This window comes from Homo sapiens, chromosome 13, assembly GCF_000001405.40.
Source record: "Homo sapiens chromosome 13, GRCh38.p14 Primary Assembly".
Classification (NCBI taxonomy): Eukaryota; Metazoa; Chordata; class Mammalia; order Primates; family Hominidae; genus Homo; species Homo sapiens.
In genome coordinates, this window is record NC_000013.11 from 52,778,964 (window position 1) to 52,792,361 (window position 13,398).

General features: G+C 46.4%; 3 annotated features.

Moving 5' to 3' along the window:
* Window positions 223–722: an enhancer, noted in NCBI's record as "H3K4me1 hESC enhancer chr13:53353321-53353820 (GRCh37/hg19 assembly coordinates)". NCBI's record gives its function as "activates a minimal SCP1, AML or CMV promoter by ChIP-STARR-seq in primed H9 embryonic stem cells {active_cell/tissue: H9 hESC(primed)}" and the evidence as "EXISTENCE:reporter gene assay evidence [ECO:0000049][PMID:30033119]".
* Window positions 7,914–8,430: an enhancer, noted in NCBI's record as "H3K4me1 hESC enhancer chr13:53361012-53361528 (GRCh37/hg19 assembly coordinates)". NCBI's record gives its function as "activates a minimal SCP1, AML or CMV promoter by ChIP-STARR-seq in naive H9 embryonic stem cells {active_cell/tissue: H9 hESC(naive)}" and the evidence as "EXISTENCE:reporter gene assay evidence [ECO:0000049][PMID:30033119]".
* Window positions 8,431–8,946: an enhancer, noted in NCBI's record as "H3K4me1 hESC enhancer chr13:53361529-53362044 (GRCh37/hg19 assembly coordinates)". NCBI's record gives its function as "activates a minimal SCP1, AML or CMV promoter by ChIP-STARR-seq in naive H9 embryonic stem cells {active_cell/tissue: H9 hESC(naive)}" and the evidence as "EXISTENCE:reporter gene assay evidence [ECO:0000049][PMID:30033119]".

Below are 13,398 nucleotides of genomic sequence, written 5' to 3' on the forward strand. Positions count from 1 at the left end.
TGCGCTGGGGTCAGCAAAGCAGGCAACACTCAGAGGCAAGGTGGTGGCATCAGGACTCCTCATGCTAGGCCTGAATTCTTACTAAAGGAGCAAGCCATCATTGCAGAGGAATTACAACCCGGCCTCTGTTTAAACAGGGGGCTTTTAGGACTACACTGAGCTGCAGGCAGAGCTGTGGGCAGCTGAGTGGGAAAGCACCCAGCGCCTCCAGGGCTTAGCTTGGTTGGGTAAATGAGGGTTGACTAGCTGGGAAAAAGCCAGCATTGTGAGGGGCCAACTGTAGGCTGCTGCGGGAGACCCACGAGTGGAACGGGATCCTGTCGGAACGGTGTGTGTATTTATTCTGGCAGCTTCCTTCGTAAAGCCATGCTAAGCCCCATCTGGGATACTGTCAGGTATGAAAGGGCGCTTCATCTTCTGCAAGGCGCCTTTCAGTGGCCTCCAGGCATTTGCGGTTAATCTGTTTAGATTGCGAGCTGGGCAGAGACACTGCCCCTTTGTGGAGGGCTGCTGTGGCTGAGAGAGGCTCTGATTCTTTTCTGTTTTATTTCTTTTTTTCCCCCTGAAAACCAGGCCTCTCTGAATTAGGACTGAAGCTACTGCCCTAGGATTGGGCCAAGAATTTGTGGTAGCCATGGCAACAGCACCTTCTCCTACCTGAGCAGGATTTTCTTCAGCGTTCAGGTGCGTTCTGCACTCCCACCCCAGGTCTCTGTGGGTGAGCCCCTGTGTGCTCAGGTGGTCACTTCTGGAATGAGGGGTGCCACTGTCCCCACTGACAGTGTTATTCCTGTTGCTTCCTACTGTCCCCTGCCCAGGTCCAACCCCAACGGATTTGTGAATTTGGCAAAATTGGGTTTTGATTCTTTACCACCTGTATCACATTTTTCCTTTCCATTTCAAGGAAAACTCGCAAAGTGGTTAGGAAATCAGGAAGCAATTAGGTACAAGGCTCTGGAATGAAGGTTTCTGAGTTTGACTGGGAGCTTCTACATTGCCCAAGTACAGTACATGGCTTTGGGCAAGGTGCTTAGTCCCTCAGTTTTCTGATCTATAAAAGGGATGAACAGTGCTTTCCTCCTAGGACTCAGGGAGAATGAAATCAGGATAATGTGTGCAAAGTTTTGGCATGCAGCCTGGCCAATAGTAAGAACTCACAAATAGGATATTAGCTATTGTTAGTGTTAGAAGCTATGCACAACTGTTTTATGCTGAAGCAATAAAGGAGGCAGCCGGCAGAGGCAGATACCTGAAGCCTTATGGCTTAGTCCGTCCTATCCATGTGATGGGCATACCCAGCTCCTTCTAACTCTCACTGCGGTTTCTAGCCTATTTCTGGTTACTGGGTCATCAGCTGCTCTCACACCTGCGTTGCAGCCCACAGTCTCCATGCCTCCATCTTGGTTTGACTTAAGCTGGTTAACTGCAGCTGTTTCCTGAATTCACCCTTACCTCTTTTTCTAAAAATTATTAATCAGATTCAGAGTGGTTGTTGCTTAGTTTTGTCATGTTACTTTCCAAATCTATTCTTATATATATACTATATACACAAGCATTATCTGTGGAGGATGACTTCATAGCAACATTCTCAACCCTGTGGGTAATCATTGTTTGCTTATTTTTGTTCTAATTTGTTCTATGGGTTGAACCCAGTCTTCTCTGGGTTGGGTTCTGGTTGAAGAAGTTATCAGTGGGATTAGGGATGGGGCTGATTGACTCAGTGGCAGAAGTCATGATATCTTTCATCACTGAAGGCTTTCAGCAGTCAGGAACTGTGTCCAGTTTATGCCTTTCTCACTGCTTTATATGTTCTCCTTTTAAGATTAACTCAAAGGAGTGACAAACTTTGAATCACCAAATTCTTTCCTGCTGCCAGTGAGAGTTAAGGATAATTACACAGACATTTGACATTTGCTTCAGAGAAGGAAATGTTCAACGTTAATAGTTAAATGAACGTTTTATTTTCTTCCTTGAATCTTGCTGTGTTTCATGAAAGGAACCCACATGGTGATGGCTTATACATTTATGAATTATATTCTAAGAACAAATACATACTTCATTTCTCTGTAAGGGGAAGATCATCTAGAGGATATGAAGATGATGCAGATGCAGGCTGGGGAAGGGTTTAGGTCGTCTCACCTGGAAAAAGGGGTAAATAACAGGATGCCTCAGAGGGTGTTAAGGGGATGAAATTACTTAATACACAAAAAGCACTTATCAGTGTGCCTTGCACATAGCAAGTGCTCAGTAAATGGTGGTGGTTATTTACACAGGTGCGTTCCTCCATCTGAGTCCTCATGCTATTGGCCACTTATACCCTGAATTGCACTTTATTTTTATGGCCAGTAGCCAAGCAAAGAGACTGTTGACACTTAGCTGGAAAATACAATTATCTGTAAAAGATGTGTGGCCATTCTGGGGTTTATAAGGAGGATGTGTGCAAGATGCCTAGAATTACAATTTGCTGAGTCAAATAATGGCTGAGCCAGCAAGGGTCTTTGACACCATTTAGTGAATTGTTTTATAAATGAAGGTTCAAGAAAGTGAAGCAAAAGACCCAAGATTTTCCAGCAAGTAATGGCATACCACAGTAGAAACTGGCTCTTCAGACTCCCAGACCAGTGTCTACCCTATTCTACAAGGGTACGATTCTCAACACTGGGCCAATATCATGGGCATGAGCCAGAGGAGGTGGTGTGGGGTGGGGGGATGGGGACACAGTCCCTAATATTACTTCCACCCTAGGCCAAAGAAGAGAAGGAATGCTGTTTCTCTAGAAGTCCAGTTTCTCCAGAGCAGTGATTCCCAATCTTTTTGAGGATGAGGAATACTTTCTTTTTTTCTTTTTTTTGAGACAGAGTCTCACTCTGTCACGCAGGCTGAAGTGCAATGGCACGATCTCAGCTCACTGCAACCTCCACCTCCTGGGTTCAAGTGATTCTCCTGACTCAGCCTCCCAAGTAGCTAGGACTACAGGTGCAGGCCACCACACCCGGCTAATTTTTTTATTTTTAGTTAGGTGGGATTTCACCATGTTAGCCAGGCTGGTCTTGAACTCCTGACCTCAGGTGATCTGCCTGCCTCAGCCTCTCAAAGTGCTGGGATTACAGGCATGAGCCACTGCGCCCAGCCTGAGAATGAGGAATACTTTCTTACATTGATAAATTTCATTGATCTTTCTCCCCATTTCCAGCATGATATAGCAGCTATTGACTTGATATTCAACGTTAGAGAAAATGTACAATAATACAATACTAGCCACTGTAAACTTGCCAGCACTTTACAATGAAGATGTACATGCATTTCAAAAGTGGTTTACCTATATTATTTATTCAGACTACCAATGATGCTTGGATGGCATTTAGATTTGTGAGCAGCTTGCAATAACGTCACCACCTCACTAGATGACTTTCCCATCCACTGCCATGAAGGGCTGTTGGTTTCCTTTACTTTCTGAGAGTTACGAAAGGGGGATAATAACATAGGGATAGTGTAGCAAAAATAAAGAGGAGCAGAAGGCTAAATCATTCTGGTCCTTTTTCTAAAATGGTCCAAGGCTAAGCTGTCAGCTACGAGGAACGAGGCTTGAGTAGAAAAAAAAAAATATGAAAACAAAGCTCTTTCTTGTTCTTTCATATAAATGCAATGGTGAACTGATACCCAATTTGGAATGTTGGCTGAAATAGACTGAGAGCCAAAGTATTTGGGGGCAGTTATGGTTCATTAACTGCAGTGGAAAACACAGAGAGACAGTCAAAGCTGAAGGTTCAGCAGCCAGGCCTGTGCATTTTCTGATATGAGATACGTGTAACAGAAACAGATTCTATTTACTGCAAAATTCGGACTCCATTTTGTCTATCCCAGGGAAGAGCTGGGAGGTGTGGAGAGAGGGGTTTCTGAGAGGCATAGACATTGGCTCCTTGAAGTAGTTTTGGGGCTGGTCTGGGCCTGTGGACAAGGACTACTGAGTAAATAGAGTAAGAACTCCCCACTGCTGGGTGAGCCTCTGTGCTGGAGTCTCTTGAGAAGATGGTGGGTGGGACTTCCGGTTACTGCAGCGTGAGAGGTCAGTGATTCCTCTTCACAAAACAAGCAGAAAACTGGAATAAAATTGTCAAGAATAACCATTTCAAAGCACTGTAAATTGACCAAAGGCAGACAGCAAATTGTGAAGCTTTTATTCCTGAAAAACTGCTGGAGCTTCGGGTAAGAACAGCAGGAGTCTTTGGCCTTCTTGCCTGGAGCTGCTCCATCTTCTCCCACAAGCCCAGCTGGCCAGAACTGGACCTTTAAAAGCGCAGGGCTGGCCATGAAAATGAGCAATTTGCTGCCAGGAGGGATGGACTCACTTCACGGGGTGTGTGTGTGTGTGTGTGTGTGTGTGTGTGTGTAAACCTGTGGCTTTGCTAGCTAAATGTGGAAGACTCAATTGGGAAAGAATGAGGAAAATCTGTGACTTTGCTAGCCCAAGATTGTGTTCTTAGTTGGGGTGGGCTGTGGACCAGCAGGAAATTTAATGGGGAGATGCCGGAAATAAAAGAGTGCCACAAAAGAGCAGAGATAAATCCTCCACATATTCCTGGTTGACTGGAAGATTGTGTTGCATAGGGGAGACCCAAGAGGGCCCAGGGAGACTGAAAACCAAGAAGAACTGAGAACTGGCTGCAACTTTCAATGTGTTCCCCAACTTTCACACAGACCAAATTGGTAGAGGGATGGAGACCTCATCAGATGACCCCAGTGCGCTTTCCACTGAACCATATGTCAAAGACACTGGAGAAACGTGAGGCCATGAAGTGATACTGGATTCCAGTTGAGTGACATGTTATTTTGTGTGCTTCCAAGCTATATTGTTGCGGCAGTGTGGCTTAGTAGGAACACAGGTTTGCATCAGACAGAATGGGGTTTTAATCCCAGCTCTCTCTCTTACTATTTGTGTGAATTTGACAAGTTATGCAACTTCTCTGTATCTTAGTCAATCCTTGTAAAATTCCAGTGAAGTAGGCATTATTACTGTCCTCATGTTCTAAAATGCAGTGGCATGGAGACTTTTTAATCTGTAAAATCTTTTTTTTGGGTGAGGACTAAAAATTATAATTGCTATAAAGGATATACCACATGGTAGGTGCTTAATAAATAGTTTTTTAAGTTTGTTATTGTTGTTATTGCTGATGATGCAGAAAAAGAACTAGAGCCAAGTTGATAAACCCAGAGAGATTATCCCCCCAGAGAGTCACCAAGAAAATCATAAGATGCTGGCATTAATGCTATAGTGGGTGAGACCTCTACATGAGCTCTGTATTGGTTTTTTATTGCTGCTGTAACCAATCATCACAAATTTAGTGGCTTAAAACAACACAAAGTTTCATTTCATAGCTCTGTGGGTGAGAAGTTTAAGTAGAGTGTGTGGCCTTATTGAGCTCTCTGCTTCGAGGGTAAAATTAAGATGTCCAGGCTGGGTTCCTTTCTGGAATTTCCACGTCTGAACCCAGCTCTAGGCTCGTTCAGGTTGTTGGCTAAATCAAGTTCCTTGCAGTTGTGTGATGGGGTCCCTGGTTTCCTGCTGGCCTGTCAGAGGCTTATCCTTGTTCCTCAGTGCTACTTGAATTCCTTCTTGTATTTTCCATGTGGCCCTTCTCCAGCAGCAGGGCATCTTGTTCCTCTCATGCTCAGGATTTCTCCAACTTTTCCTTGTCCTGAATCTCCCTGACTCATGTGGGCCCACTGGATAAACCAGGCTAATTGCTGTATTTTATAGTCCATGAGCTGAATCACAGCTGCAAAGGCCCCTATTCATAGGTTCTGGGAATTAGGGCATGGACCTTTTTGTGGAGCAGGCGGGGGAGTACATTCTGCCTATGACGACCTCTGAAGGAAGAACAGGTTATAGGCCAGTTCTTGGGATAGGAAGACACATTCAGATGAAACCAGGAGCGTCTAGACTTTAGGGAATGTGAAAATGGGTAGATTTGTGTCAGTGAGGCTGTCTCTAATGGAGATCTGTTATTTTTGTCCACTCAACATTCCTTTCTTTGGGAGAGATAACCTTTCTTCATTCTTTGTGGGTTTTATGGGGCTGCCAAATACAGGATTCCATCTACTTGGTGCAGGGATAGACTCATGGCCTCAAATGGGCCAATTATATCACCATCACCTCTCCCAGGAATCCGCTCTTGAGTGGAGACACGCAGGCACTGGAGGTGATTGCAGTGGAATGATGGTATGTCAGCATCCTAGAGAGGGGGCCGTGAGTCCTGTTTTTGAGTTCATGGGAGCAGCCTTCACTTAGTTCTTTCTGGGACCTGGTTGTTCAGCTCTTCCTTAAACACTGGTACCCACTTAGAATTCTTCCCATAAATACCCTTTCTGGCTCAAGTTACCAGAGTTGGTTTCTGTTGCTCACACCAAGAATCCTAACTGATGCCTCTCCCTGCCATGGCCACCACCCTCATTACACAAAAGAGCATTTATTCAAGTCTCCTTGCTCACAGCCATGCTGGGAATGAATTACTGACATGGTTTTTGATCTCTGTAATGGAGCTTCTTACCTTGAGCCATGTCTTTTTAACACTTCCTTCATTAACCCTGATAGGGTTAGTCCTGAGCAGACTTACAGAAAGTAGTTAATAACATGTAATGCTTCAAAAATCAGGTTCCATTAAAAGCATCAGCCAGACAGGCAGAAATCACCACTACTTAGCCTTTTATTACACACTGTATGTGAATTACAAACGCACAATATAATGCTCATTCAAGACGATGGCCTGAATCATAAAATTTCAAGTATGAAATGTCCTCTGTTTATTTCAGCAGGAAAGCATGTAGTACGACCAGGCTCCTTGTTTATTTTTTATGATTCAGTGCTTTAAGGAGTAAGCCCAAATTACATGGCACTTTCACTCCTCCCGCGTGTCTCATCCCCTGACAAGGAAGGGATCAAAGAGGTGTTACAGTAGGGAGGAATTAAGATTCAGATTGCGAACAAGGCATCAACCATTGTATTTCTGGCATGATGAGCTGAAGGAGTATTCTGAGTGACTCACATTTATTCAAAGGAAGGTTGAAGCGGGTCACCACTCCTCTTGCCCTGGCTCTGACCATGATTCTTGAAGAAGGGAGTGTTTCAGGATCTGTTCTGATCACTTAAAAGGCAGGGACTCCAGATGGGCAAGAAAGTGGCCCTTGCGTGGTGCTCTTGGGAAAAGCTTTGATGTGAGGAGTACACTATTCATTTTGATCCTTTCTGAAGAGAGTTACAGCAAATTTAGTTCCACTCAACCTCTCACAAGGTCACACATCCAGTTGGTTCTCGGTAAAGATTAAGATGTAATGAGTCTGCCTGCTGAGGTATCCACCATAGACCCCCTCACTATGTCTCTTCATACCCCAGGAGCCCAATTTCTCTAAAGAAGAAATTTGCAGAAACAATTCGCTCCCTCAGCCTAATTTCCCTCTTAGGCAGGAGAACAATCTCTCAAAGACAATTCTGTCAAATAATAATAGTAATACAGGCACCACAACCACCTCCTGTTTTTATACCACACTGCCCTTCCAGGGGGACAGAATGCTTTGAAGATCCTCTCTCCTTCCAGAAGACAAGGAGCTATCGCTCCCTCTTGAACTCCCAGGAGGCTGGGTGGTGATCAGCCTGAAAGAATTTGTTCTTCACAAAATCACCCCTGTACCCTGTGATCTTCTCAGAGCTTGTAAATGGAGTTTTTGATGCCATAGTCTATGGAGGGTTTTTCTTCTTTCTTTTTTTCTTTTCTTCTCTCCCTCCTCCTCCCCCACTATTTTTCATTTCTTTTCTTTGTTCTTTCTTTTAGTCGGATTGAGCAGTTAGGATGATACTGCTTATAGTCATCTGCCAAGGAGGCTTCTTTTCAAGCTTAGAAGAAGTCAGTGGTGCTTTTCCGGTCCTTGGGCCTGTCAGTGGTCCTCTAGACTCACACAGGGTAATGGGCAGCCTCCATGGTGAGTCAGCTGCCGCCTTCCATGACTGGCTGTATTGTTTTCCTCTGCAGTGACTGGGCCAGCACTCCATCCCTTTAACACAAAGGCATTGTTATTGACTGGTTTTGAAGGAAAATTTATTTTCCTCCACCCTCCTAAACCACAACTTCAATGTCTCTTCCTCCTCCTCTTCATAATAGTCACAGTAGGATGTTCAATTATAGCTAAAAGCCCTAGATTTAAGTGACAGATTAAGAGGCTCGGCAGGTTGTTCCTCTAATGTTCATTTCAACTGTTGGTTTATTTTTTAACCTGCAGGCACTGGGTTTTAGGTAAGCCTTTTGACAAGGTGCTGTTTGCTGATGCATCCTGTGGTGGTCCGGCCCTCTCTGCAGGGCACTGGATGTGGTCTTTGGGCAAAGTCAGCTGCAGGAAGGGCACTGCCCACCACCATGGCACCTTTGATCCCTGGCCCCAGTGCCAGAGGCTCTGGCCACACAAAGTGACTGGAGGGCAGGAAGAAGCCCTCTGACACCCCCTCCTGTCCCAGCCTGGCACAGAGCCTGGCACACAGTGGGTGCTCCATACAGTCTGCAGGGTGAAAGAATGAAACGCTCTGAAGCCAAGAGGCTTAAGTGTCTGCATTTGCTTCAGATGGAGATAAGGGGAGAACTACAAATGCTGCCCACTTCTGAAATTACAAAGGAAAAAAATGCCTTTTTTTCATTTTGGCTTCATTATGCTTTAAAGGGCATATTTCTTGCTCTCAGTAACTCAGGCCCTCTTCCTCTCCTCCCCCAAGGACTCTTCCCAGGAGTCTTTGATCCCCCTGGGGCCTCACAGGAAATTGCTCTCGGCTGCTCACCTCTTCACCTGGGACCTCCTTATAAATTGAGGGCAGGACTTTCCAGGGAACTTTATACTTTAATAAGGATGCAAGATTTCTAGATTCTAAATGAAATTTCAGTGGTGGAATTCCAGATTCCCTTTACAGGTAAAAGAGAAGCCATCTGAGAGATTTCCCCTATAGTTTCTCAAAGCCAACTCGCACCTTCCTGTATGAGTGAGGCCGATACCTCAGACACCTAGGAGTTTCCTGGTTCACTACTGAGCAGAGACAATGAGGAATTCAGGAGCTGCTTTAGGTTGAGCTCAGCTCCTGTCTCACTTTAGGTGTTGAGCCGAAGGCACTGAACACCTCCTGCACCTTCCCAGATCTTTCATAGCCCCAGGGCCCTGTACTTCACTAGGACATTCAGGGCACTCTGGGCAACTTGTCCTGATGTCCAAAGCCCCATCAGGCGGGCGCCGTCCAGGTGCTGGAGCTGATCTGACTCTTGACTGACTAGGTTGGTGCTGTTAGGTGCTCCAGGCATGCCTGGAATTTCCCTTCACTGTATTTGGATTTTCTATGTGTCTTCTTCTCCCAGTGGGCTGTAAGTTCCTTGAGGGTAGGGATGGTCTTTCTTATTTTATATTCCTAGTGCCTAGTACAGTGTCCAGCCCATTATAAACAAGAATAAAAATATTGAGAAAGAGGGAGAGTGGGAGGGGAGAGAGAGAGAGAGAGAGAGAAGGAGAAGAAGAAAAAAAGGCAAAGGGGAGGAGGAGGAGGAGAGGAAGGAAGAAATTGCAGATTAGCCACCTAGTTTCTGCTCTTTACAACTAGTCTAATAACTAATTGCCAACCTGGCTCTAAAAGAAAGCTAGTATCTGTACATCTCTATGGATTTGAGTTTCCATCCTGAGGGCAATTGATTCTCTTGCTGAGAATTGGACTTGTCTTAGAGCTGTGATGGCACCATCTAATATGTAATTAAACCTAGGTTTTTTTCCTCCCATCTCCTTGATCCTCATTGTTAGTAACTACCCCAATTTTAAGCCCCCGTTTGAAGTCGGATACTGTTGGTATTTTACATTTAGCCTTTATCAGCAACCAGTTGGTGTGTGGTAATTGCAAATTATCTGAACAAGAGGCAAATTGTATAGCGAGAATCTGAAAAGGTCAGGGGAGCCGTGTCTAGAAACGGCAGCTAGAGAATTGAAGAAACTTGACTTGAAGAATTATTTTTAGACAATCACTAAGCCCTGCTAAATTAGACTGGAAATGCATGTGGTATTTAGTACCTGGTCCTTCTGCAATCAGCAAACTGGGGCAGAACTTTCTCGCATGAGTGGTGTGTGTGTGTGTTTGTGTGTGTGTGCGCGTGCATGTTCCTGCGCGCGTGCACGTGAACAAGATTCAGCCACGCTAATGGTCAGCTGCCACTCCCTGGTTGGGCCATCTGGTTGTTAGGTCCAGCATCTATTCTGAGTGGTCAGTGCTCAGGCTGTCTATATTAATTATTAAACATAACGGGCCAGGTGCAGTGGCTCACATCTGTAATCCCAGCACTTTGGGAGGCCAAGGAGGGTGTATCACTTGAGGTCAGGAGTTTGAGCCCAGCATGGCCAATAGGGTGAAACTCTGTCTCTACTAAAAACACAAAAATTAGCCAGGTGCGGTGTCATGCACCTGTAGTCCCAGCCACTCGGGAGGCTGAGGCAGGAGAATCGCTTGAACTCGGGAGCTGAAGTTTCAGTGAGCCAAGATGGCACCACTGCACTCCAGCCTGGGTAACAGAGCAAGACTCAATCTGAAAAACAACAACAAAAAAGAACAACAATTTTCTCCGAAGCAGTGAGGCTTAAACATCTGCATTTGCTTCAGATGGAGAGAAAGGGAGAACTATAAATGCTAGCCATTCCTCCTGAAGAAAAAAATGCCTCTTTTTCTCTCTTTCTGTCTTTCTCCCTCTCTTTTGGCCACAAAGTGTATGTTAAAGTTTAGGCAAGTTTCAAACACAAAAAATTATATTTTCATATCTTGCATTTTAGGCTAATCTGGAAGTTTAGCTTAAACTCAATATGGAAACAATGCGAATTAAGTTTTGAATCATGTCAGCTGTGAAGCTGCCCCTCTCTCATCCCTCCCATCCATGTCCCAGGCCATTATTTCCGTTATGTCAGCAGAGTCTGTCCCTCCACACAGTCATGTTTGGAGCTCCCCTTCTGTGTCTGCAATTTTCCAGGGAGCACAGGAGCGTGGAGTTTGAGACTTTCAGGATTTTCCCCTTAGTTCTTCTGCCGAGCCACTGCCAGGAGAGGAGGGATCCATGGAGTTCAACCCTGACTCCAACTCCTCTGCTCTCTGCACCGGCCAAGGAGTGCCCACCATCTCAGTGTCTTCAGGCCTTTCCGGGAGCCACATTAGCTCTCCTGAGTCACCAGAGTGCTGGCCTTGCTGCATTGGCCTTGCCCAGGGGACCCCCCAGCAGACAGACCCCCACTGGCCACCACCCCACAGCCTGAAAGGTAACTGGTAGGGCACGCGGCCCCCACTCCTAGAAAGCGGCTGCTGAGAAATCCATCATCCAGGCCACGGCAGTACTAGTCCCAGACACCTTTCCTCCCACTTGCCCTGAGCTCTTTTCAAAAGACTAGGGCGGAGGTTCTCAAGGGCCTTCTTTTTCCTTCCTACCAGAAGCCTGAGTGCGCTGACTCCTAACTATGAGCTCCCCCGTGTCCCCCTGTGCCTTTGCCAAGGGTTGCCACCCCATCTTCCATTTTCCTCTCTTTCCTTCCCTACCATTCCTTGTCTCCACCTTCACCATTGTTTTTTATTTTTATGTTCTTTACCTTTTATCCCTGTCTTTCTCTCTGAACACTCCCATTTCCATCACTCCCTGCAAAGCCAGCTCCCTCCCTGGGTCATAGCCCCTTCCCCAAAAAGGAAGGCCCTCTTCCAGCCCTGCCTGCACCCCCAACCCTTCTCGCCCCTCCACATATCCAAATGCTTCTGGATTTCCAGGCCCATCTCCCTTTTCCCCCTGCCCCTGCCTCAGCTTCCTCCCCGCTGCACTACATGCCGCAGGGCCAGGGCCAGTCTGTGGTTTCATTTTCTTTTGTTTCTTGTTTCTCGTATGCCAACTTTTCCCTCCCCCTGCCTCCCCTCCCCTCCCCTCCCCCTGCCTCCCCTCCCCTCCCCACTGTGAGCTCTTTAGGGATAGGTAATACACCCATATTTCCTTTTGGTTCCCCTCACAGCCTGGAAGGTGCTTTAAAAAACACTTGTAATCCTAGCACTTTGGAGGCCGAGTGGGGTGGAACACGAGGTGAGGAGATCGAGACCATCCTGGCCAACATGGTGAAACCCCGTCTCTACTAAAAATAAAAAAATTAGCTGGGCATGGTGGCGTGTGCCTGTAGTCCCAGCTATTTGGGAGGCTGAGGCAGGAGAATCACTTGAACCCGGGAGGTAGAGGTTGCAGTGAGCCAAGATCGCGCCACTGTGCTCCAGCCCGGAGACACAGCGAGACTCCATCTCAAACAAACAAAAAACAAACACTTGTTTGGCCAGGTGCAGTGGCTCTCGTGTGTATTCCTAGCACTTTGAGAGGTCAAGGTGGGAGGATCACTTGAGGCCAGGAGTTCCAGACCAGCCTGGGCAACATAGCGAGAACCCATCTCTACAAAAAAATTGAAAAATTAGCCGTGTGTGGTGGTGCACACCTGTAGTCCCAGATACTTGGGAGGCTGAGGCAGGAGGAGTGCTTGAGCCTAGGAGTTCAAGGCTGCAGTGAGCTATGATCACACCACTGCACTCTGTCTAGCCTGGGTGACAGAGCAAGACCTTGTCTCAAAGACAAACAAACAGTTGTAAAACAAAAGCAAAAACAAGGCCGGGTGCGGCGGCTCACGCCTGTAATCCCAGTGCTTTGGGAGGCTGAGGTGGGTGGATCACGAGGTCAGGAGATCAAGACCATCCTGGCTAACATGGTGAAACCTGGTCTCTACTAAAAATTCAAAAAATTAGCCAGGCGTGGTGGCAGGCGCCTGTAGTCCCAGCTACTCAGGAGGCTGAGGCAGGAGAATGGCGAGAACCTGGGAGGCGGAGGTTGCAGTGAGCTGAGATCGTGCTACTGCACTCTAGCCTGAGCGACAGAGTGAGACTCCGTCTCAAAACAAACAAACAAAAAAAAACAACAAAAAACCCCAAAAAACACTTGCTGACTGGTTGATGCAGATATTGAATGAGGTGATCAAGCCAGTCTGGCTTCTTGCAGGACTAAGGTCAAGCCTCTGAGCTGAGTTGTCTTCTCTGACAAGTCCATGGGGGAGAACTGGAGTGTAGGCCTGGGTGGGAGCCCAGGCTTTGGAGCAGAGAATTACAGAAACAAATCCTGGCTCTATCACTGACCAGCTGGGGGACATCGGCAAGTGATCCCACCATTGTGAGCCTCAGTTTCTTCATCATTAAATGGGGATGATAATAGCCTTTGGGTTGCTGTGAAGGTTAGATGGGATGGTGTTTTAAAGGACCACTGCATGCTGTTTTATTCTCTCCTTCAGCCCCTGCTTGTGAAGACACAGGGGCCAAGCCCTGGGGGGACAGCATCCCTGGAG